Raw genomic sequence first — 26655 nt, 5'->3', positions numbered from 1 at the left:
TTTATTGAAGTGTAACATATATCAAGAAAAGCACACAGGCCAGTCGCGGTGGCTCATGCCTGTAATCCCAGCACTTTGGGAGGCTGAGGCAGATGGATCACTTGACGCCAGGAATTCAAGACCAGCCTGGCCAACATGGTGAAACCCTGTCTCTACTGAAAATACAAAAATTAGCCATGCATGATGGCATGCGCCTGTAATCCAGCCACTCGGGAGGCTGAGGCAGGAGAATTGCTTAAGCCCGGGAGGCAGAGTTTGCAGTGAGCCAAGATCATGCCACTGCACTCCAGCCTGGGCAACAGAGCAAGACTCCATCTCAAAAAAAAAAAAAAAAAAAAAGAAAAGAAAAGAAAAGGCAAAAGCAAAAAAAAAGGAAAGCACACAAATGGTAAGTACACAGCTCCATGAATTTTTGCAAAGTGAACACAGCAATAAAATCCCACACAGATGAGAAATAGAGCCTGGCCCGCATGCACCACAGAAGTGCTTTCCTCGCCCTCTCACTCACCACCCCTGACAAGGATGACATTTTTCTGACTTCTAGCATCACAGATGAGTTTGTCTGATCTTGCATGTTATATAAGTAGAATCGGACTGGCTGTGTTTTTGATGTCTGGCTTCTTTTGCTCAGCCTCATACTTGTGAGATTAATCTATTTTTTGCTTATAGAAGTTCATTTTTATTGCCATAGAGTATTCCTTAATAGGAATATATGAACAATGTATTTGTGTGCATTCTATACTTGATGGACATTTGAGCTCTTTCCTTTCTGGGGCTATTACAAACAGTCTGACCATAATCATTCTTGTATATGTCTTTTGGAGCACATAGCTAGGCATTTTGTTGAAGATATACTTAGAACATTCTGTTTTAGTAGTTGCCATAGAGTTTTCTAAAATGGTTGGCCAAACTCTACTCCCAACAGCAATGTTTCATCATTCAGTAGTTCCATTTTCTTGCCAAAACACAGTATTTTCAGTTCTTGTTGCTTTAACCATCCTGGCAGGTATGTAGTAGTATTTATTTATGGTATTAACTTGCATTTTTGCCTTTTTTTATGTTTATTGGCCACTTGGAGAGCCTCTTTTGTGAAATACCTATTAGAATCTCTTGCCCATCTTTTAAAATATTGGACTGTCTTTTCTCAGCTCTTTGAAGTGCTTTTTAAAATGTATTCTGGTTTCGAGTCATTTGTCTTACATATGTTTTGAACATATTCTTCCATTCTATGACTTGCCTTCTCACTCTTCTAAATGGTGTCATTTGATGAACAAGAGTTAACTTTAATACAGTCTAAATGATCATTACAAGAGTTAACTTTAGTGGAGTCCAATTGATCATTTCCTTTATGTGTCCTGTTTTAGAAACATTTCCTATTTTAAGATCATGACAATATTCTTCTGCGCTGTCTTCCAGAAACTGTATTGTTTTGCTTTTCATCATTTAAGCCTTTGGTCCAGCTAGGATTGGTTTGTGTGTATGGTGTGAGGTAGGGGGTGGTCAAGATGTTATTTCTCCATATGTTTATCTAATTCACTCAGCTATCTCTCCCCAACAGCTCTGTGGTGCCTCCTTTGTCTAAATCCAGTATATGTGTATATGTACACAGCTACTTTCTGGACTTTCTGTTCTCTTCCACTGGTCTATTTGTCCCATCCTGTGCTACGCTAACCTTATTATTAGAGCTTTATAATCGACCTTGGTCCTGGCGTTGTAAGTCTTCCATCTTCATCCTTTAGGGTGAAAAGCAGTAGAGAGTGTCAGGCTCACCTCGGTGCACTTACTTTTCCCCTGAGATCTTGGCCTTTAAACCCTGACTGCATCAGTTACTCCAGCTTTTATAGTTTTTCTATATAGTATCCAGCTTTTATAGTTTTTCTCAGCAGAAGAGTTGGTCTGATTCAAGCTGCTCGGCCATAGATGGAAGTGGAAGCTCGACCTTTAATTCTTTTAAAAAAATGGTTTTATTGTGATAAAACACACATAACATTGACCTTTTTAGCCATTTTGAAGGGTACATTGCAGTAGCAATAAGTACATTCACAGTGATGTGCACCATTTGCTATCTAGCTTCAGAACGTTTTCATCACCCCAAATGGAAACAGCCATACCCATTAAGCAGCCATTCCCCCTGCCCTGCTCCCAGCCCAGCCATTTATTTTTACTCCTAACCAGCAACATTAGTAAACGGTCTTAAATTCCCAAGGTGCTTTAGAGGCATATCCCTTAATTATCACAATGGTTTGGTTGGCTGGTTATGGTTATCCCCACAAGCCAGAGAAGGAAAATGGGACCCAGAGAAATCTCACTGGTTTCACAGCTAAGAGCTGTTTATCTGGGGGGTCTGAACTTGCTTCCCAAACAGAAGCCTTGACGCCTCAATATTTTCTTGGCAGAGCGAGTAATGTGTAATATTTAAAGAGGAAGGCTCCGGAAGTACAGGCAAATTTACAAACAACAATAATGAAAAGTTGGAGTTCATATATGACTGCCTTTAAGAAGCTGCTAAATATATTAAATATAACTAAACACATTTACTTCTCTGGATCTATAATCTTCGTTTGTATTAAGGATTCTTGTATTCAAATTATTGCCTGATTTGAAAGCATCCAGTTCCATTTTTAAGAACAACATCCAGAAGTCATGACATGACCTTTACACATGGTTTTAAATTCCCATCTTCCCCTAGGTTCATACTCTCAAGAGCACATGTGTTAATAATGCAAAATCTAGGACTACCTAAGAGAGATGCAGCAGGCAATGGACTTTTGGAATGTAAAACTTCTTGCTTTGCCAACCCATTTAATTCACTACTTAGTGAGAAGGATGACCTTGGAAACCGTGGAGTCCTCTCCACCATGGAGCTGCAGACTCCCAAGCTCTGTGGAGGCTGCAGGATCCCAGTGACTCATCTGAGGAGTGGAGAAGTTCAAAGACCCTGTTTTTCACATGGAACCATGAACGCTGTTGGCCTTGCTCCCTGAATGAACCAGTGGTCAGGTAGGAGAGGGGAGTGAACCTCCACTTTGTTAGCCTCATGGTTCCAGAATAATCTAGGAGCAGAGCTGACTAAGGAAAAGGCTAGGGCTGCAGGTCAGGTCGTGCCAAGACCACAATGCATGGGACTCATGTGAGTTTCCTATCACTGGCTCAGGGCTGTTTCTGTGTGGTCCTGAATTACAAGAAGCTAGCACATCTTTTCCTAAGAAGGATTGAGGCTCGCTGGCTCTGCTGGAACAAATGCATCGTGAAATGAATGCACGGAGACTCAGAACAGGCCTGGGGATGCACTGGAGTGAAGCCTGCAGGAGTTAAGTTGGGGCGGTGTCCTCACTCCACATGTTACAATGGCTCCTGGGTGACAGGAGACAAGTTTGGTCCTGGCCCTTAGCCTCATGCTTACAGTGCTCCCCAACCCCCCAAAAAAGAGTTGACAAAACTGAATCCTGAGACACATGGGAAATCATTTTGAGCGGCCTGCTTGGGGCTAGTCTTAGGCAGAATGATAACTTAGTATCAATGATGACAAATGGCCAGCACAGTGGCTCACACTTGTAATCCCAGCCCTTTGGGTAGCCGAGGTGGGAGGATTGCTTGAGCCCAGGAGTTTGAGATCAGCCTGAACAACATAATGGGACCCTGTCACTACAAAAAATTTAAAAATTATCTGGGTGTGGTGGTATGTGCTGGTGGTTCCAGCTACTCGGGAGGCCAAGGTGGAAGGCTCGCTTGAGCCCAGGAGTTTGAAGATGCAGTGAGCTATGATCACACCACTGTACTCCAGCCTGGGTGACATGGTGAGACCCTGTCTCTTAAGAAAAAAAAAAGTAATGATAAATAATGAACAATAACATTAGTCACTTTACATGTGCCAAAAAATATCCACAACCGATGTCTCACTTTATCCCCCATCTTGTCCTGTGGGGTGGGTAGGTATCACCAGATCTTACTGATATGAAGATGAAGGATGCAATGGGGCTCAGCTGAGACGCAGGGTGAGCCCAGGATTTCCTGGAGCCGTGCTGATGGGTGTTCTTGTCTCCATCCCCCCTCTCCTCGGGCGAGTGCCTTCTTTCCTGCCTTTCTTCCATCCTCAGGTCTGCTGATCTCTGCTAAGATACTAACCAATAATTAACATGTGACACAAAGCCACACTGGAAGCTGGAAAATTCCATGCAGTTGAAAAAGAGCCTCCGTATCTGGTTTCCCACAGGGAAGGTGAATAATGGAGTACCTGGCCACCTTTTTGAAACCCCTGCTCCGTGTCATGGAACGTGTGGCTGCCAAGGATACTTCTCACATATCGAAAGTTCTAATGCAACGGAAAAGGATATTCTTTATTCTGGGACTGTCTCCAGCACCTAGTGTGCCACCTGGCCATGCTGTAGGGAGACCCTCTGTGGAACCAGCGTGCCCCTGACCCTGCCCTCTGCCCTGACTGGAGCTGGGAGGATTCTTCACCCAGGGCGGCCACTGAGGCAGCAGCTGGTGGGAGACCCCAGTAGAGAATAACCAAACCAGCCTCTAATTGCCAAACTGGAGCTGGCACTAGACACCAAGAGCACCTGGGTGTCATGAGGGATGGGAGAGAGAGGACAGCAAGCAACTAATTGGCAGCAGAGCCCACTCCTCCTGTCGGTGGATTCTCCCTAGTTGCTCTCCAGTGGGGCACTAGAGGCAACACAGATTGCAGCCAAGATGGTCTGCACGTGGTGCAGGGGCTCTGCCAGGGCAGCTGCTGCTCAGGACTGTAGGAGCAATGTTGCTTGGAATTGGAGTCTCCTCCAAAGAAAGCACAGCTCACACAGATCTTAGTGAGAAATAGCAACAATAACTGCCACCATCATGCCCCTGCCACGTGGCAGGCTCCGGGGTACACCCTTTCCAGGCATTACTCCATTGGCAGCAAGCATATAAGTGGGGCTATTATGATCTTCACTTTAAGGACAAGAGGAACAAGGCCACAGAGGTGAGGTGACTTGCCCATGTTACTCAACAGTCGTAAAATGAAAGCCACATTCTGATCTGTCTCATCTGTCACTTTCTTTTTTAAGTTAATATACACTTTTTTCCCATATCAGTGTGTACAGATCCACTCCATGCTTTTCAGTCGTTGTGTGTGTTCTGTTTTGTAAATATACCATAATTATTTAAGGAAAACCCTGATAAAATGAATTTTGGTTATTTCAGTTTCTCAACGTTACACACTATGATAATGGACATTCTTGCATATATATATGTGTGTATATATATATACGTATATATATGTGTGTATATATATACGTATATATATGTATATATACGTATATATATACGTGTATATATACACGTATATATATACACGTATATATACGTATATATATACACGTATATATACGTGTATATATACGTGTATATATATACACGTACATATATATATATATATCTCTTTGCACATGTGTGCAAGGTATGTAGAGTTTATATTCCTCAAACTGAAATGCTAGGTCAAAAGTTATTATTCCTTTAACTGAAATGAGAGTCACATAACGTAAAATTCAACATTTTAAAGAGTACAACTCAATGGGATTTAGTACATTTACAATAACGTGCAACCATCACCTCTATCCAGCTTTAAAACATTTTCATCATCCCAAAATAAAACTTCATAACCATTAAGCAATTACTCTCCTTTCCCTCCTCATCCCAGCCCCTGGCAACGACCAATCTATTTTCTGTCTCTGCAAATTTGCCCATTCTGGATATTTCAAATAAATGCAATTATGCAATATGTGACCTTTGTGCCTGGCTTTTTCCACTTAGAATAATGTTTCTGAGACTCCTCCGTATTGGAGCATGTATCAGTACTTCATTCACTTTTGTGGCTGCATAATATTTCCTCATCTGCATACACCACAAATATTCATCTATTGAACATTTGGGTTGTTGCCCTCTTTGGGCTACTATGCATAGTGCTGCTATGAACATTTGTGTACAAAAGCATTTGTTTGAATGCCTGTTTTCAAATTTGTGGGTACATACTTAGGAGTTAAATTCCTAGATCGTTGTGGTTAAAATTGTGACGGGCATTGGCAAAATGCTCTTGAAAAATTGTGTCATTGTGCACTTCTGCTAAAAGTGAGGTAGAATATAGGTCTTCTCACAGTGCTGCCAATACTGGCTATTCTCAAAACGTTTCATATTTGCCAGTCCGATTGCGGGAATAAAAGATACATTATTTTGCCAACTTTTAATTTTTAGTTAGAGGGCAGTTGGGCACCCAGGCAGCATTGCTAGTTGCCCACTTTGTATTTGTTTCTCTTTCTATTTTGTTAACAGAATCCTGATTTTGTTTGGAAGGACAGCGTGCCTGGTTCCAGGTAATTGATCATGATGAGTCGAAGCTGGAGGTTCTCTATTGGAGGGTGGTGCTGCCCCTCAGGAGGCCTTGGGAAACGTGGGAAGGTTTGCAGCAGCCACAGTGTTGGGGAGTGGGTGCTGGCATTTCATGTCCATGGGTCAAGACTAATAACTGCCCCATGACTGGTGAAACAATCCTCTCCACAAAGAATTTTCCATCCTCAAAGGCAGAAAGTGCTCTGTTGAGAAACACGGGCAGCCAATCTACCAGGATTTAGCCAAACTCAGGGTTAAGGGCGCAGTCCTCCATAAGACTGCCTTCACTTCAGAGGTTTAGAGGTCCCAGGGGCACCCTCACTTCTGCCCAGCTGGCTACAAATTCAGGGCCCCCCATGTCCACCCTCAGGTCCAGAACTCCCTGACAGCACTGGACTTACAATTTTATTATTGCAAAGGATACAAACCAGAGCCAGCCAAAAGAAGAGACACTTGGGGCCGAGTCTGGGAGGGCTCCAAACACAGAGCTTCCATCGTCCTCGGGAACACATTACCGTCCTGGCACATCAGTGCTCGGGAGCACAGAGTTTTTCTTGGGGCTTCATTATATAGTCACGATTAATTGAATCATTGGCCATGAGGCTTAACTCAGTCTCCAGGCTCCTCCCCTGCCCAGAGGTTAATCTGGTATCACATAACTTAAAACCCCAACCCTCTATCATATGGTGGGTCTTTCTAGCATGTCCAGCCCCCATCCTGAGTCACTTTGTTAGCATAAACTATCAGGTGTGGTCCTAGGAGCCCACCATGAAGAACAAAGGCACTCCCATCACCTGGGAACTTGCGAGGGTTTAGAAGTTACCTCCCAGGACCTGGGAACAAAACCAACCTAATTATTCATTGCACATCAATCTTCTGTTGCTCAGCCTCTCTTGCGGCTAGAGGTGGTCTTAGAACACAGTTCTAGCTGGTGAAACCTAAATGGAAGTTTGCTGGGGTTGATAGGAAAGCTCTTGCTGTTTTTTGTTCCCACCTCTCAGCCCCAAACCAATCCCTCTTCTTTGTCTTGAACTTGGGTGTAATATATGAAGCTGTGTTACAACTTGTGTTGAGTAAAGTGAAGGAACAAATACATAGAAAGAGCTTTGTTCCCCCATGGTGTTTTTTCATGCTGAACCGATGCCAGTAAGTGCTCCTGCCTTCCTGGTTTGGATTTTTTGGTATGTGAGAATGTAAACCCAAATTAGTTTGAGCTATTGTTAGTTAGGTGCTCTTTACTTACAGCCAAGAGCTCTCCTGACACAGCATCTTGTCATATGGTTATGGGCCACTTGGTTCTTTTTTTTCTGAGAAACATCTGCTCATATCTTTAGCCTACTTTTTTCTATGGGATTATTTTATCTTTTCTTACTGGCTTGCTAGAGAGGTTTGCATATTAGAGGAATTATCCCTTTGTCTAAAATATGTGTTGCACAATTATTTTTTCTATAGTACATCATTTGTCTTTCAACTTTCTTAGGGTGGTTTTTCTCTACAATTTTTTGCCATTTTAATATAGTCATGTTTGTTCAAGTCTTCCTTTTTGGCTTCTGAGTTGTGTGTCATTCTTAGAAATGCCTTATTTCTTTCAGAGGTATAAAAATACTCTGTGGGGCTTTAAACATTATTTTTGTTATAGGAGTTCCCCCTTATTTCATGTTTCACCTTCCATGGTTTCTGTTAGCTGTAATCAACTGAGGTCCAAAAATATTATATGGAAAGTTACAGAAACAAACAATACATAAGTTTGAAATGGCATGCCATTCTGGGTAGTGTGATGAAATCTCATGCCATCCTGCTCCATCCCACCCAGGACTTGAATCATTCGTTTGTCCAGCATCTCCATGCTGTGTACGCTACCCGCCTGTTAGTCATTGACACTGTCTGCTCCTGACATCCACCCATCAATATTGTCATTGCTCAATGATCCAGGATCACCGAGAGCAGATGAGCCTCCTGATGCATGGTCAGAAGGTCAATAGTAGCTTACTTCTCCGTCACAACGCCTGAGTTATTCACCTCACCTCACCTCATCACATGGCCATTTGAATCATCTTATATCATCACAAGAAGAAAGGTGAATACACAATAAGATATTTTGAGAGAGAAAAAGAGACCGCATTCACCTAATTTTTATTGCAGTATATTGTGATAATTGTTCTATTTTATTATTGGTTATTGTTGTTAATCTATACTGTGCCTAATTCATAAATTAAACCTTATCATATATACAGGAAAAAACATAGTGTATATAAGGTTCAATACTATCCTTGGTTTCAAGAATCCACTGGGGGTCTTGGAACATGTAAGGTGGTGGGGGGACTACTGTATACTTAAACATTTAAAAAATTTAAACTTGTCATATGTTATTTGTTATATTTAAACTGTATTATATTTCGTTGTATTAAGACTCATTTTGGCATAAGAACAGAATTAGAAATAGTAACAGGTAGCATTAAACACTCACCAGGCACTGTTTTCCTTCTTTACAAGACTCATTTAATCTTCATATGAGAAAGCAGATCCTGTTATTATCTTCATCTAAGAGGGGAGGCACTGAAGCTTCCAGGGGCAAAGTTCCTTAACTGAGGTCTCACGCCTACAGAGGGAATAGCCCAGCCTTGAGCCCAGGAGCCTGAGTGCAGAGTTTGCTTTCTTAAGCACAGGGCTCTACCAATGGAATTACGACAGCCCAGTGGATTTCTCAGTTGTATTTCTCCCATTCTGTTTCTGCATGATATGTGCCATGAGGTGTTTCTGTCTTTAGAAAATGGCTCAATAGGCCGGGCATGGTGGCTCAGGCCTATAATCCCAGCACTTTGGGAGGCCAAGGCAGGCGGATCACCTGAGGTCAGGAGTTCGAGACCAGCCTGGCCAACATGGTGAAACCCCATCTCTACTAAAAATACAAAAAGCCGGGTGTGGTGGCGGGTGCCTGTAATCCCAGCTACTCAGGAGGCTAAGGCAGGAGAATCGCTTGAACCTGGGAGAAGGAGGTTGCAGTGAGCGGAGATCGTGCCACTGCACTCCAGCCTGGGCAACAGAATGAGACTCCGTCTCAAAAAAGAAAAAGAAAATGGCTTATTAGATATGTTTTGATTCCATCAATCTCTGCATGCACTTCCTACTTACTCTTTGCTGTATCCGAAAACTTACTTTAGGACTTGGGACCTGGAATGGTTAAGTTAATGCTGGTTCCTCCAGCTGCCTCAGGTTTGGGCTATTTGCTGTAGCGGACGTGTTTTAAGGGTGCGTGGCATTTGTAACACACACAGACATAGAGATGATTCCCATGAATAAGTTTGTTCTGCTCACAGATCCCTAGAAACAGGAAACACAGCCTGCCATGCAGGGCCACATGAGGAAGCACCAAGGCTGGTCAGGGGGCAGACAGAGCAGAGGAAATCCTGGGCAAAAGCTTTTATTGTGGTTTCTGCAGGGAGGAACAGGGAGGCAGGGTGCATGGGCTTAGGAATGGGGCCAGGCTGAATAATTTCAGAGCTCTGGGCCATAGGGGCTGTCCCTGGTTAATGGCCCTGGGGGCTCAGGGCAGGCAAATACTGGCCCTGAGTGTGAGGTCCTGATAAGGGAGTTGGTTGGAGGCGTGGATTTGGGATTAGCTGGTTTGTATGTGAAAGGTGTGTTAGTAGTGTAATTGTTTGCCATCTCCACAGATTAGCTAGTCCTGGGGTGGAGTGGGGAACAGTCCCTCTAGGGTCAGCAAAGCCCCAACATGTCAAAACATCAAAAATGCAGAATGGAGAGATGTGGGTACTACAAGACAATTATTCCTCTGTCTGCCCTGCACTTTTCTCCTCTTAGGCTTTCCTCTCCTCTGTGTTATGATAGGGGTAGCAGACACCATCTTCTCACATCGCCTCCATGGTTTAGTGATTAACTGAGGGGTGGGCTTCTGATCCCAGGTGGCAAAGGTCCATTTCTAGAATTTTTTTTTTTTTGAGTCGGAGTCTCGCTCTGTCGCCCAGGCTGGGGTGCAGTGGCGCGATCTCCACTCACTGCAAGCTCTGCTTCCTGGGTTCACGCCATTCTCCTGCCTCAGCCTCCTGAGTAGCTGGGACTACAGGTGCCCGCCACCATGCCAGGCTATTTTTTTGTGTGTGTGTTTTTAGTAGAGACGGGGTTTCACCATCTTAGCCAGGATGATCTCGATCTCCTGACCTCGTGATCTGCCTGCCTCGGCCTCCCAAAGTGCTGGGATTACAGGCATGAGCCACCGTGCCCGGCCCATTTCTAGAATTTTTAGAGTGGAACTGGGATGGGTTACAATATAGAGAGAAGCACAAAGGAGAGGGAGAGAGGGGAGCCTGGGACATCTGAATCCTGGATCCAGTCATCCCTGAAGCTAACTCTATGTCTGTCCTTGATAGCAAGAGTCATTAACTTGCTCTTTTGCCTAAACTAATTTGAATTGGATTTTCTTCATTTGCATTTTATCTTTATGGAAGAGAAAATATATGCATGTGTTAATTTATTCTTGGAAAGTTCCACGGTGGCTTCTGAAGAGATGCTGAAACACCTAAGTAGCTTCTCTCATACAAGGTGGCATTTCAAAAATTTCCTAAATAACTCACAGGTGCCCGGGTAAAAATTAAAAGGGACTGCACTGTCACGGCAAAATAAAAATTAGTAGATTCAGTTGTGTTTAATCATCTCTGTTTTAAGAACCTGCATTGACCTTACTGAAGGGGTAAATCGAGTACTAATACATCGCAAGACGTGTGAGGGAGTGCTGGTGGGAACCCCCGTTTGCTAAGGCCCTTGGCAATCAGAAATAGGTTTCAGGAAAGTGATATTGCAGGCAATTAGGCAAGTCATTCTCCAGCATCTCTGAGAAAGAGATAGCGTCCCCCTACCCACCTCTCCGAGACAGGGATGTTAACGGCAGCTCCTCTCTACTGTCTGCTGCTGGTGCTTGGAAATGAGACGTGTGTGGGAACTACAAGTGGAATACCAGGAATCTCACTGCACTCGCTTGGATGAGGAAGACAGCCTGGCTCCACTCTCAGAGACACCAGCCCAGGCTGCCATTTAATGGTCCTTTCATTAAATCATCTTTTCCAGCGCTGGCAAGCCCATCCATGACTCTGTGTTTCTCCCTTGCCTATCCTCACCTTCCTTCTAACCTCCCTCTTTTGTATGCAACTTGAAATGTTCAAGATTTAAAAATAAAAATACATCGTAGGCACTCTTGGCCTATGCACCGCTTTTTACAAAGGAAATCAAGCTTTAAATAAAAGGCAGGAAACTGCTCAGCAACCCCGGCCCCTTTGAAAAGAACGGTTTCTCTGTGCTATTAAGCTGGGGGCACCTCTGCTGGTGGGGCTTGAGTGGCAGCGGGTACAGCATACAGCTACTCAACGTAACCACAGTCACACCCACTCACATTGTCTCCTCAGCCCTGTCTTTTGGAGTTTGGGCAGATGTCCCAGTAGATATTTTTACTTCTGTGACGCTAATAACAAATGACTTTAAAAGCACAATGCGGGAATCCTTCTCTAAATATTTCTGGACTAAAAAAGTATAATTGGCATTGCCAAAGCAAAGCCTCGCTGGCCCTTTTCCTGGTTTTGAATGCGTGACCTCTGCCTGTGGTTCTTTTTCTAACACCTGAACATCCCTCCTCCGTGGAATACAGGTGTGGCATTGTTCCTGTTGCCCTCTGCAACCTGCTTCCTGGAACCCTCAGCGGGAGAGGACAAATACTTAGATAATCACCACACAAATGAAGATCTCCTTTCATTTCCATGTGCGTCCAATTTGGGAACAAAACTCGACACTCAGCTGCAGTCGTCCTTGTTATTAATTATTCATCCATTCATCTATTCAGCTACGTGTTCCATAAACATTTATTAAGTGCCAATTATGTATGAATAAGGCATTGTCTCTGCCCCCTTGTCTGTGTCCTCCTGAAACTCCTGTTCTAATTACGGAGACCTGGCTTGTGCATGAACAGCGAGGTTACAGTATGGGGAGTTTTGTCCCTGTCACCTCCCGCCTTTTGGAGGTTGTTGAGAACACCGCCTGCAAGGGGAGCCTCAGGGGTGCTTCCCGGGGCCAGGTGCAACAGCTCCCACCTCGCAGCACTTTGCGTCTCCTCCACATCTTTTTGGCATTATGGGTCCTTTTACTCTCCTCCTTCCCTCGTGAGGAAACAGGCTAATGGGGACTAAGTGACTTGTGCAAGATGACAGAGTGCGGATTAGAAACCAGGCAGCCTGACTCCTGAGTCTATGACCATCTTGTGGCAGTGTCCCCTCCTTGTAAAAGCAAATAACCACCAACAACAAAACCCTCTCTTGGCTTGGCAACGGTGACACCACCTTCTCCCGGTGTTTTCTTCACCGACTCCTCCCCTTCATTCACACAGCCCTGAAGGGTGCATCCGTGCTCCTCAAAAACCTCATTGGCCCTTGAGTCTTCTACACGCCCTGCCCAGGGGAACGTCTGCAACACATGCATATACAAGGGAGTATGGGAGTGCAGTGGAAAGATGGGGCTATTCTTGTTTAACTCTTTTAATCTGCAGAATGTATAAAGGGAATCATTATGTTTTACAGAATTTTCAGGAAGCATAAAGCATAATCTGCACTAACGCCTTTCATCCCAACACTTTGGGAGGCTGAGGCGGGTGGACTGCTTGAGCTCATGAGTTCGAGACCAGCCTGGGCAACATGGAAAAGTCCTGTCTCTACAAAAACTACAAAAATCAGCCGGGTGTGGTGGTACATGCCTGTAGTCTCAGCTACTCGGGAAGCTGAGGTGGGAGGATGGCTTGTGCCCGGGAGGCAGAGGTTGCAGTGAGCCGAGATGGCGCTACTGCACTCCAGCCTGGGCGACAGAGCCACAACTTGTCTCAAATATGTATATTTGCTGTCAAATATATATATATGTATATAAAATATATAATAAATATATAAAATATATATTTCTATATATAATATTTATATTATATATAAAATATATAATATATATAGCCTTTAGTGTGGAATATATATAATATATAAAATATATATTTAAATATAAATATAAATTTTTATATAAATAAAAATGTATATATATATATTTTATATCTATATCTATATATATTCCACACTAAGGGCTCTAGGCATTGTATGAACAAGGTGGTCCAGCATTATCACACACTGGACATGCCCATATTCAATGGAAAAAAAAATTTATTTTCCAACTGCCAGAATAAGTGGATGTCCTGTCAAGGGAGAAGGCTCTTTGGTCTGAGTCAGGACAGAAGACTCAGCTGGGACGCATCCCGCCTGCCAGGGAGATGCCCACATCTGCATGTGGCCCCTGGGAAAGGATTGCTGTGCTATAGCCAGTGTCCTGGTTTGGATTTAGTGATGTGAGTGTGCTGTCTTTCTTCCGTAAGGAGAGGGACCGTTTTTAAAAATCATCTTTCTACAAACTCCGCAGCACCCAGGATACGGTTGAATCTGTAGGTATTTAAAATGACTGGTTTGATAGCCCGCATGGCCTCTCATGTAAACATTCCGTAGCTCCTTATTTCTCAGCTCTCGAGGCACTTGGCTGGGTCTCTCCAGTAGCCTGGCTCCCAGGATGCCGCAGGCAGCAAAGGAAGGGGTGTCTTGCCACACGCTGAGTAGCTGGAAACACCACAATTACCTGACAACCAGCAGCAGGCGCCGGGCTGCAGGGGGCCCCCCGGGTGCCTTTTGTCCCCCTCTCCCGATACTGCTCCCTTTGTGAACAACTGCACTGGCCTAGAGACCCCTCTGCTTCCAGGGCTTTCCTCAAGCCCCAGAAGTTCCCTCATTCACTTACCATGCCAACACCCACGCTGTGCTCACTGGGAGATGGCGAGTCTTCCGTGAGAAACCATCCTTTTCCTGGGTGGCACTGGTGATATCCATATTTAAGGCATTTAATAACTGTGGGATGTCTCTGCTGAATGCAAGAGAAGGGAGAATTTTGGAGAACTGTATGCAGTCCCATGTGGGCATCTCTGCCTTTCTTTGATCCAGGTGCACTGAGGGTGGTGAGGAAGGCCGCCTGTGGAGGCTGGAGAGAGCTGGCAGGCTGGGCGTGGGAAAGGGCCCCGGGCTGGAGAGAATGCAGGCGACCAGGTGGCCAGTTCCTTCACACCTGCCTGCTGCTGCTGGAGTTTGTCCCAGGCCAGCAGTATGGACTGAAAGAACAGGCATCCTAGTGTTCCCGGGGCCACTACTCTGTATTCCTCATGCCCAGCATGCTCCTGTTTCATCCATTTTTATGGAGGAGGGCAGAGCAGCATGCGTGAGTGGTGAGGTAGAGAAAAGAGAGTCCACACAGCATGCAGGAGGTCGGGACTCGGCGGCAGGGCTGCCAGACAAAATGCAGGATGCCCAGTTGCATCTGAATTCCAGATAAACAGCAAATAAGGTTTTAGGATAAGTGTGTCCTTAATATCACTTTATATTCTCACATGCTGAATCTGGGGGCCCTATTGTATCATCACTAAGCTTCTTTTGACTTTGTCAAGATAACCTCTCCCATTCTTGCAGCTTCCCAGCTGTGGCGCCCCCCGGCTGCCTCTGTTTCCAAGACCGGGGGGCCCTATAGCAGTCTGCAGGGCCGATGCATCTCCACACACTCGGACAAGTCAGAGGCTTCTCTGCCTCTGCAGCTCAGCCCTGGCAGGTTTGCCATGAGTGGCGATTTAAACGCTGCCTTGCTGGTGTGAAGCTGTGGAATTCCCTTGGGCTCCTGAGTGGGAGAGTTGTTTAAAATTCATGATGCTCCTTGAATTTTAATTGGGTGTGAGTAACCTGGGGACCTAGTTAAAATGCCAGTTCTGATTCAGTGGGTGTGGATGGGGCCTGAGATTCTGCAATTCCAGCCAGCTTCCAGAGGATGTTTAATGTGGCAGGTTAGAAACCCAGAGTGAGTTTAGGCTTCAGGCAGTGTAACTGACATCCTAAACAGCCTCAACTCAGTTATGGCTCCTGCTAGGGGCTGAATTATGTCCCCTCCCCACCCCCACCCCCAAATTCATAGGTCAAAGTCCTAATAGAATTCAGAGACACATACAGAGGGAGACCAAGTGAGTGCCCCTGAGGAAGACGCCCGTCTACAAGCCAAGGAGAGAGGCCACAGAGGAAACCAATCCTGACATCTTGATGTTGGATTTCCGGCCTCCAGAACTGGAGGCATAATACATGGCTGTTGCTTAAGCCACCCAGTCTGTGGTATTTTGTAGGGCAGCCCTAGCGGGCGAATACAGGGTCCTTTGTGGAAGTCATGGGGCAGGGTCCCCTGAGGCACCTTGAAAGTAAAGGAGAAACAGCTCTCAGGGACTCAGCTGCAAGTCATTAGTAACTAAGCGGAACAGCTGTCTTCAGCAAAGCTTGACCTGGATCCCAGAACTGAAACAGCGGGAGAAACAGAACTCTCACCTTCCTTAACCTGGATCCCAGAATTTAAACGGTAGGAGAAATAGAACTCTCACCCTTCTTTTAACACTTTCAGCTCTCATGAGGGAACAGGGAGCAACCCCCTGCCCACAGCCCAGCCGCATGGACGGACTCTAGCATTCTCCCCTCAGGCTCTCCCTTGCCTCCGCCCCCACCCAGCCAGCCACAGTCCTCTGTCCCCAGTCTGGGGAGGCCGTGGGCTTCACAGCTTCTCTCTCTAGCTCTCTGATTTTCCCAAGTCACTCATGGCATCGTGATGCTCTCGCTTTTTCTGAGTCTGGGCTTTTGAAAAGAAAGACACCCAGGCTGTTGCAACTCTAAAAGTCTTTTCTTCTGAAACCATCGCCTCTGTTAAGAGGTTTTTTAAAGCCTCTCTTGAAATTCAAATCTGAGCGTTGACTCTATTTTTGCTCTCGCCTTCCTGTTGCGACAACCGCAGGGCAAGTGCAGGGAGCCTAGGAGAGCATTCCCGATGCCTGAGTGGGAGGGAAAAGGCAGGGGTGAGGAGGGCGAGGAGAGACACACACAAGGTTTAACACCACTAAGCATTACTCCGCTGCACATGAGATATTTCCGAACATTTCAATCTTGTTTAATTTTCCTGCTGTACCAGGACTGCTTCCCCAACAGCAGGCGATGGAGTCCCTGAGATGCCTGCTAAAAATACAGACCCCTGTTCACAAGGGCCAAGAGGTGGGAGCAACCCAGGTGTGTACGGATGGATAAATGGATAAGCAAAATGTGGTCTAGCCATGCAACGGAATGTCCTGCAGCCTTGAACAGGAAGGAAATCTTGACGCGCGCCGCAGCATGGGGGAGCCGCAATGAGGACGTTATGCTAAGCCAGTCACAAGTGCATGATTCCACTCAGAGGAAGGACCCAGAGTCGTCAAATTCAGAGACACAGAGGTAGAACTGGGGTTTCCAGGGGCTGAGAGGAGGGGCAGTGGGGAGATGTTCTTTAATGAGGACTGAGTTTCAGTTTGGGGAGATGAAACGAGTTCTGTGGCTGGGTGGTGGTGACGGATGCACAACGATGTGAATGTACTTAACGCGACTGAACGGCACACTTAAAAATGTTTAAGATGAGGCCGGGCGCGGTGGTTCACGCCTACAATCCCAGCACTTCGGGAGACCGAGGGGGGCGGATCACTTGAGGTCAGGAGTTTGAAACCAGCCTGGCCAACATGCTGAAACCTGTCTCTACTAAAAATACAAAAATTAGCCTGGCGTGGTGGCGCGTGCCTGTAATCCCAGCTGTTTGAGAGGCTGAGGCAGGAGAATTGCTTGAAGCTGGGAGGTGGAGGTTGCAGCGAGCCAAGACTGTGCCACTGCATTCCAGCCTGGGCAATAAGAGCAAGACCCCATCTCAAAAAAAAAAAATTGCTTAAGATGCTCAATTTTATGTTATGTCTATTTTACCACAATTTTAAAAATTAGGGTCACCGTCTGCAGCAGACAGAGCTAAGCACTCGCCTCTGCCTTTTAAACTCACACACGGTGCTTAGCCTTGAAGCTCAAGTTCCGACTTTAGACACCTTGGCTGTATAAAGTTCTCAAAGGGCACGAAGATGTCGGTCTAACTGTGGAGGAAATTCTCCAAATCATGGGGTTTTAAATCAAAGCTGTGTTCAAGGCAGCTCAGTGTATTTATCTTCTGTCCATCTTTAAATCAGAGACAGAGCTGGGAAAGGAATCCCGCCGGCTAAACCCAGCCTCTCCATGGCAATCTTGTAAAATATCACCACGGTTTCTTCAACATCACCAACTGCCAACTCCAATCTCTTCGTCAAATATTGGGTACATACAGTGCCTTGAAAGAGAGGTTTTTATTCTGACACTTGCTCTGCTATGAAAACATTTTCATTCTTCCCTGCATCTTTTGTGGAAGTTGACTGAAAAGGAATCACTCCTCGTGACTCCCACTGGAAGGCCTACTCCACTGTGGCTTGGCCATAACGGGGAGAGCTTTCGAGAGTTAAGCAGTTGAAGTAAGGACTATTTTGCCAGACTCTCTGAGAGTGAGATGCCGAATGTGCATTGTAAACCATTATCCCAGATGAATCTGAAGTTGAAGAACCACCGTATAGTATAGACAAGAATGTCTAATTTTGTTCTTGGGAGAAGAATAGTAACCAATACCTGGGGTTAAATATTTACATGTTCCATACTTCAGGTGATCTCAGACCACAACTGGTAAGGTATATCCTGGAAGAAGCATCACCCTCCTTTTATAGCTAAAATAATGGAGCGAGAATATCATATAAAAGTTAAGCCTCAGCCAGGCACGGTGTCTCACGCCTGTAATCCCAGCACTTTGGGAGGCCAAGGCAGGAGGATCACCTGAGGTCAGGAATTCGAGACCAGCCTGACCAATATGATGAAACTCCATCTCTATTAAAAATACAAAAATTAGCCAGGTGTGGTGGCGCACACCTGTAATCCCAGCTACTCAGGAGGCTGAGACAGGAGAATCTCTTGAACCTGGGAGGTGGAGGTTGTGATGAACTGAGATCGCACCATTGCACTCCAGCCTGGGCAACAAGAGCGAAACTCCATCTCAAAAAAAAAAAAAAAAAAAAAAAAAGTTAAGCCTCATAGCGTCTGGCAATTTGGGTTCTTGAAGCTAGAGCCTTTTGTTCCTTCTTCAAACCCCCATGGCCTTTCCTTTTCCTAGCAGATCTCCACCTAGTTCAGGTATTCATGCTCCTCTACCCAGAGAGGTCTGGGGTGGGGAAGATCCTGCTCAGGTTAAGCCGTGCTTGGTGCTGGGTAAGCCCAGTTTAAAATAAAAACAATTATAATGATGAGTGAGGCCCGAATAGAACAAGCCAATCATGGTGGTGGTGGGGTGGGTTCCTGTTAGGATAAGCCCATTATGGTGGGTAGGTGGGAGGGGGCTTCTGATTGGAAGAAGCCAATCCTTCTAGACCATTCCGCTTGGGCCCTTGGCTCCATTCTGGTCAGTGAGACTAGAAGGGAGGGCTGGCCAGTGGAGAAGAAAGCAAAATGTGCATGAGTTCCTGGATATAGCAGGAGACTTCAAAGCAATTTGCCAGGCAAGACACTTTGTGCTCTCACAGGAGAATCCGAGCTTCAAAACACTGGGTCAAAGCTCCGGGAAGGGCTCTGTCACAGCCTGTCAGCTACTCAAGAGCAAAGCAGTGACCACCAGATTGTTATTTTTAATTGTTCATATTATTTGAACAAATTCTGTGATGGTGTGAAGAAGAGACTTCGGTGTCCTAGAACTTAACTGTGGCAGAGGTAGCATTCTCAGGCCAAATATAGATCTTAGGAATCCAGGTTTTAAATGAGGACTGACTGAGGTGCAGCCATTTTTCACAGGACTTTGAGCTGTGTGGAGGTGTCATGAGTGAGAGGCGGCAATTAGAGAAGGAGAGAAGCTGTCAGAGCAAGTGCAGGCTGAGGCTGGTGAGGCCTGGGGAGCAGGGAGCCCTAGGGAACCCATGGAGGGCAAATCCATGAGGATCAAGAAGCAGTGAGGCCCTCCCAGGAGGACAGGCTGAGCACCCCCTGTGTAGGGTGGGAGACATTTCCACGTGCAGAGACCAGGAAGTCCTGCAGGTGTTGATGTTAGGAAATGGCCTGGGCCCAATTTTATCTGATTATCCTGGTATGGCTTACAGACATATTTTTCAAGCTGTGGGTTGTGACCCTTTTAGTAGCTCATGAAATCAACTTAGTGGGTTGTGACCAGCTCTTAAATCAAGGCTGGAAGGTGGGTGAAATAGAATAGGAAGTCTCAGCACGCATTACACTTTTGACTATGTGGTGTGTCTAAGCGCATGTGGTATGTGTGTGTGCATGGAGAATGCATGTGCGTATGTATGTGTGTATAGTGTACATGCATGTATGTGTGTATTCATGTGTGTGTTGATGTGTATACACATGCATGTGTGTGGCATGTGTTTGTGTGTGTGCGCATGTGTGGTGAGTGTAAGTATGTGTGCATATGTGTATGTGCCTGTGTGTGTGCGCGTGCATGGTGTTTGTGTATACCATATTCCAATGTAAACATCTTTTTGCAGTGGTTGTGGTTGTGACCTGGAGGCTGGCCGGCCGCATTCTCAGAGTTGGGGCAGGAACTGGATGGAGTGGGGAGGTCTGTGTAACTGTTATCTGATTGATTGATTGATTGATTGATTGAGACAGAGTCTCACTCTGTCACCAGGCTGGAGTGCAATGGCATGATCTTGGCTCACTGCAACCTCCACCTCCTGGGTTCAAGTGATTCTCCTGCCTCAGCCTCCCCAGTAGCTGAGATTACAGGCATATGCCACCATTCCCAGCTAATTTTTGTATTTTTAGTAGAGACAGGGTTTCACCATGTTGACCAGGCTGGTTTCAAACTCCTGACCTCAGGTGATCTAACTGCCTGCCTCAGGGTCAGTGGACCTCAGTCTTGACTGTCCCCTCCTGTGTAGCAGTTCCCTTCAGAATGGTTCCATTGTTTGGATTTCTTTATGCATTTAAACATCATTGAAAATAGCAAAACCAACAAGACCAGCCAACCTGGAACGTGCCCAAACCAGAGAGTGCTTCATTCTCTTCGGGTCCCCTGGGCAAGAGATGATCAAACCCACTTAGAGACCCCGTGGTGTCTGTCAGCAAGGTGGGAAGAGGAGAGAAGCCGAAATTCAGAATGGCTAAGGCAGGGGAAAGGCTCACAAGACTTCCCTGCTCCTCTCCACCCTGAGGATTCCTGATGCTCTTCATACTTGAGTTTTTGCTTCCCTGAGACAACGCCAGCTGTTTAGATTTGGAAACCTCTTTCCAGGGGAAGCCTCACCTCTGTTCCGTGGTGGTAGAAAAACAGCTTTATTTAAAAATTAGATGATGCGGAGTGTTAGGCATTTTTAAGAGGGGAAAAAGATCCTCACCTCTTTTAATTCTCAAACACCGCTTGAATACACAGATTTCATGCTTGTGACACCTTTCTTCCTTCAAAGATGCTGCCGATTTCTGCCAGAGGCGGCTAGAGATTTTGTGCTCTGGGACACTCCTGCTAAGGATGTGTGTGGTTGTGAGCTGAGCTGGAGATTCAAGTGAGAGGACTGGGAGCCCAAACAGTGTGTCGATGGCAAATAAAACAGGCCCTGCTTCGCGGTGTCCATGGCCACCCCCGCCCCTCATAATGACCCTCCACTCCCCCACCCAGAAATAGGCTCCCCTCCAAAGGCACTGGGTGTATCCGAAGAGAATGATCTACACAAGGAGTAGCCTCCTTTCCTGGTTCCAGAAATCAGAATTAAGGGGGAACAGTTTGCCTGGAAGGGAGCCAAAGTCTAGAGTCTTTTGTTCCCTCTTCAAGTCCCTATGGCCTTTCCTTTTCCTAACATCTCCACCTAGTTCAGGTATTCATGCTCCTCCACCCAGAGAGGTCTGGGGTGGGGAAGATCCTGCTTAGGTTAAGCCATGCTTGGTGCTGGGTAAGCCCAGTTTAAGATAAAACCAATTATAATCATGGGTGAGGCCCGAATAGAACAAGCCAATCATGGTGGTGGTGGGGGTGGGTTCCTATTAGGATAAGCCCATTATGATGGGTGGGTGGGAGGGGGTTTCTGACTGGAAGAAGCCAATCCTTCTATACCATTCCCCTTGGGCCCTTGGCTCCATTCTGGTCAGTGAAACTAGAGGGGAGGGCTGTCTCTCCAGCTAGGTTGCTATCCTGACAACACCCGCTGGAAGCACGCTAGGACTGAGGCTGAGACAGGCCCTGTTTAGCCTGGAGTACCAGCCTTGCTCTCTAACCTGTAAGTCAGGCTGCCCTGTGACTGTGATTGAGTTTGTTTCCCTTTTGCTACTCCTGAGCTTTCAATAAAATTGAAATGGAATGTTCCCCAGCCTTGAATTAGCTGGCTGATGAAGAAAAAAAAAAAAAAAAGAAGGGGTCCTGGCTGGAGGAGTTTGAAACCAGCCTGGGCAGCATAGAGAGACCCTGTCTCTACAGAAAAATGAAAAATTACCCAGGCATGGTGGTATGTGCGTGTGGTCCCGGCTACTCAGGGGCCTGAGGTGGGAGGATTGCCTGAGCCCAGGTGTTCAAGGTTGCAGTGAACTGTGATCACACCACTGCATTCCAACCTAGGCAACAGAGCAAGACCCTGTCTCTAAAAAAAAATATCCTGTCCTTGGGCTGGGGGTGGTAAATGAGCTATGAATCTCACCGCAACCACTGCCTCCACCTCACAGACATCACCAGTGGGTCATGGTTATGCCCCTTCTCAGCAAAGCCCTGCGGGAGCTCCCTGCCCCCCACCCCCGGCACTGGGGCCCGCGCTGAACTGCCCGTCTGCACTCCTGCAAAAGAGCACTGAAGGCAACGGTAGCGTGGTAGCAGCCACGGTCCACGTGCGACCCTGAAGGGAAGGTGCTTCTCACAGACACGAGCTGGACCCCTGCGGGAACCCTCCCACCCTTGTCACCGTGGCAGGATCAAGGCTGAGTCACTAAGGCCAGCCTCAGCTGGGCCCTGGTCCTCCGCCCCGGCCCAAACTGCACAACGTGCCGTAAGACTTAGGCTCGATTCCCTCCACGAGTCACCCCGGCAAGGGTGGAAAGGCTGAGTCCTGAGACTCTCACGGTGCCTTTGGAATTTGAGGTCTCTCAGATTCCAGAAATAGGCACGGCGGCTCCAGGCTGGGGTTGGAGGTCTCGGAGAGACAGATGTCGAAAGCGAGGTCAGGAATTGACATGCAGAAATCACCGCCAGCCATGCCCAGAAAGCAGGGCCCAGACCCAGGTGCTGTCCACACCAAATCGGGGTTCTGGGTTTCAGGAGCATGGTGACCACGGCACTGGTTCTGTGCCTCTCCCCTGCACCCTTTTGTGGAACTGGATTCCCCTGGGGCTACCCAGCCCGGAGAGGTCCTATAAAGGGAAGGGGCTTCTGTCTCCCTTTCCTCTCTCCCTTCTCAGTCTCCCTCCACACCCCCACCCTACAAGCAGCAGACAGGGAAAGGGCCATTGTGTTGAAAGGCGAGGCTTACACCATCTCTTCCCAAATGAGGGAAGGCTCCGCCTGTCTGTGCCCTGGCACAGTTCCAAGACATATGAGTACCCTGAGAATAATGTGCGCCCCTTGTGAGCCCATATTCCTTGAACAGTAATCCAACATTTATTTAGCAGAGGCGGCAATTTAAAAAAAATAAATATGAAATATATTTATGTTCAAAACAAGGGATTTATGACATTCAGTCATTAAGTGTCATTTTCCAGACCACGAAATTTATTGCCAGCCATAAACAAGTTAAACTGCTTAAAATGTGGATAATAAAATAAATCTATTTTATTATCGCATTTCCAATAAACAGCACTATGCTGTGCCTTCATCGTTTGTAAAATTTTAGCTGACTCTGACTGTAGGTTTTAGGTGACTCTCAGCTGCTTGGTCTCAGAGTTAGAGGCTGGGCTTGCAGGTTCACCAGAATTGCCCAAAGGAGAGTGATCCTGCCACCGCTGCTACCGCAACTGCGACTTCACAGCCACAGCACCTGTGTGACCCAGGAGGGAAGCAGGGAGGGACTTTGGAGGCACACGGCCTCACAGTGACCTTCAGCAAATGCTGAGTTTGTCACTGTTACCTGCACCTGGTGGACAGGTGGGCGCTTAGCCTGGGATTCTAGAAGGCACAGGGGTGGCCAGAAGGGTCTAAAACTCCTGGGAAGTGGCAAAAGAGAGCTCTTACAGGTAGACGCTTCCTTGCACCATCGGAACCAAGGGCAGCTTGGGGGCCTCCATGGAAGTTGGAGGCCCAGGGAGACTTGGTCTCTGGCCAAGGGGGCCCTTGTGCCACCTGTTTGTGTGGGTTTCGGTGGATAGAAAATGCATGCACTTCTTTAACAAGAAAGTCACCTGGATCCTTTTCCTGTGCCTGTTAGCATATCTGCATCAGTCACAGCAGTCTTCTTCAGCAGGAGTGGGTTCAGTGTGCACATTTCTGGTTCTGGAAGAGTCAACGTGGAAAACGGACTTAACTGGCCCCAGAATCCCAGTTGATCCCAGTGAGGTCGCAGCTGCCCCCAGAAGCTCTCTCTCTGGACTGCCTTTGTTCTGTCTCTGAAATGACTGCAGATCTGGGGTCATCTCCAAAGCAGTCACTTGAAGGTGTCTCTCTAACCTTCCACCCACGTTAGCCTGGCTTCTTCCTCTTCCAGGACATGATGGGAAGGAATCCCCAGGGGACTCCTGGTATCAAAGGACATCCAAGCAGGCCTCTCTCCCCTTACCTCACTGAAAGCTTCTAAACCCTGACACAAGACTGAGACATTGGCTCCAAGTTGATGAGGCTCCTGTCTGTTAGAAATTTTTGACAGGTTGGGTTAGAGAAGCTCTCAGTGCATAATAATGAGAACGCTGTCAGGCTAAATGGCATTCTGACATTTGAAGGAAGAGGCTCATGTACTTTTTGGTTGTTTAAGGGCAAGAAGCCTGGAACTCTGTCTTGTTAAAATGACAAGGAGCAACAAGCAATTTTCCACCTCTCTTCTCCCTGAACAGGTAGAAACTAATAAGGAACTTGTTATTATAAGGAACTTACCAAATAAGATAAGCGTTCATGTGGGAGAGGAACCCTTCAAGAAGGTGCATTTCTATTCGACATCATCCTCCTCATCCTCCTCATCACCATCGTTATCACACATATAATATGTGTGCCAGCAGGGCTCTGTCATAGGCTCTGTCAAGGGAATGAATTCCACAGTCCTTGATTTTGGGATTGCAAATCCTGAGGGTAAAAATGCTGAGAGGCAAAGGGAAAATGATACGGGATCCCTTTAGGTGGCAGTAAATGTGTACAGTGCCACCTACGATATATCAGCAGCTTCCACATTAACACAACCGTAGATCCTGGGGATGACTCTCAGAGTCCCCCATCTGTCCAGCCTCGGGGACAACTGTGAGAAGATGTGGTCAAATAATGGTTTTCACCAGACCAAAGCCTGCACCAAGAAATACCGCAGTCTCAGCCCTTTCACATCCTCACCTTTCCCTTCTAAGCCATGGCCCTGCGAGGAGTTGGGCCTTCTGGAGGCTCTGAGGTTTTTCTTCTTCAATTACGCACAGTCTCATCTTCTGCTCTCCTCAAATTTCTCCTGCTGGTCTGGGTTCTTCTGTGATTTGGGGACTTGTTGCTGAAGACAGGCACTGCCATTGGCCTCACACCTACCTCCATCCCTCCAAATGAGCTTACGGCTTGGGAGAATTGATGCCGAAGGAAACTTTCTCTGAAATACTTTTCTCTGGACAATATGTCTGGAAAGGTTGGGTCTATTTAGAGAAGGAGCTCTTTCCTAAGCCAATGGAACCACCCAGGAGAGTCCTGTTTTAGTACAGGGCACTTGTCTTTTTCTTTCTTTCTTTTCTTTTCTTTTTTCTTTTTCTTTCTTTCCTTCCTCTCTTTTTTCTTGGTTTCTTTCTTTCCTTTCTTTCTTCCTTTCTTCCTTTCTTTCCTTTCTTCCCCTCCCCTTCCCTCCCCTCCCCTCCTTTCCTTCCTTCCTTCCTTCTTTCCTTCCTTTCCTTCCTCTCCTCCCCTCCCCTCCCCTTCCCTTTCTTCGAAATCTTTCTCTGTTGCCCAGGCTAAAGTGCAGTGGTGTGATCACGGCTCACTGTAGCCTCACCTCCTGAACTCAAGCATTCCTCCCTGGACTACAGGCATGTGCTTGTAGTATTAAAAATTTTGATATTTTAAAAATTTTTTATAGAGACAGAGTCTCCCTTTGCTGCCCAGGCTAATCTTGAACTCCTAGGCTCAACCAATCCTCCTGCCCTGGCCTCCCGAAGTGCTGGGCTTACAGGTGTGCACTATCACGCTCAGCTGACACTTGTTTTAGAAGTGGATTTTTCAGTATTAGCACTATTAACATTTGGGGCTGGATCCTTCTCTGCTGTGAGGCTGTCCTGTGCCCTGTAGAATGGTCAGCAAGATCCCTGGTCACTACCAGATGCCAGCAGCACTTCTCCCCCTGAGTTGTGACACCTCAAAAATGTCTCTGCACATTGACAAATTGTTCCTGGGGAGATGGGGTGGGAAAATTACCCCCAGTTGAGAACCACTATTTTAGATGTATTAATATTATACCTGTAGGTTAAAGTTTTTTATCCTAATGATAATAATTACACAAAAACTAATAATTAATGTTATAAAAGTAGCACAGAAAGTAGCTAGGCTCTAAAGGAAACTTGGAGATTCCAACTCCTACCGTCCCACCTGCAAAAGTTTTGGAACGTTGTTAAAATGCAAGGTGGTCCATATCACAGCCGTGGAACGCTGGCAAAAGCAATGCAGAAATCAGCCAGAGAAGCAAAAAGAGTCCTGAGGCTACAAGTCAGGAGATGAGGTCCTGGTCTTAGCCCTGGTCTGCGAGGAGTGTGACAATAGATAAGTCACGTTATTTTTTTATTTTTTATTTTTTAATTTTACTTTAAGTTCCGGGATTCATGTGCAGAACGTGCAGGTTTCTTACATAGGTATACATGTGCCATGGTGGTTTGCTGCACCCGTCAACCCATCATCTAGGTTTTAAGCCCCACATGCATTAGGTATTTGTCCTAATGCCCTCCCTCCCCTTGCCCCTCAACCCCTGACAGGCCCTGGTATGTGATGTTCCCCTCCCTGTGTCCATGTGTTCTCATTGTTCAACTCCCACTTATGAGTGAGAACATGTGGTGTTTGGTTTTCTGTTCTTGTGTTAGTTTGCTGAGAATGATGGCTTCCAGCTTCATCCATGTCCCTGGACATGAACTCATTCTTTTTTATAGCTGCATAGTATTCCATGGTGTATATGTGCTGCATTTTCTTTATCCAGTCTATCAC

At 46.3% G+C, this 26655-nt stretch overlaps 1 long non-coding RNA gene across 10 annotated transcripts in view; it reads left to right on the top strand.

Annotated features, from left to right (window-relative positions):
* The window catches only part of LOC100507336 (uncharacterized), a 126588-nt gene that overhangs the window by 79703 nt on the left and 20230 nt on the right, over window positions 1-26655 (top strand). For 4 of the 10 annotated variants that reach the window (NR_187649.1, NR_187645.1, NR_187650.1 and 1 more), the window contains one exon: window positions 6316-6356. The exons of 5 other annotated variants lie outside the window; for them this stretch is intronic. This is a non-coding gene — a long non-coding RNA (uncharacterized LOC100507336). Of the gene's footprint in view, window positions 1-6315; window positions 6357-8185; window positions 8450-26655 lie in introns of all 10 variants that reach the window. One more of the 10 variants, NR_187648.1, reaches the window with a different exon arrangement.

Source organism: Homo sapiens, chromosome 6 (genome assembly GCF_000001405.40).
Source record: "Homo sapiens chromosome 6, GRCh38.p14 Primary Assembly".
NCBI classification, from domain to species: Eukaryota; Metazoa; Chordata; class Mammalia; order Primates; family Hominidae; genus Homo; species Homo sapiens.
This window is presented reverse-complemented; position numbering and strand designations above follow the sequence as displayed.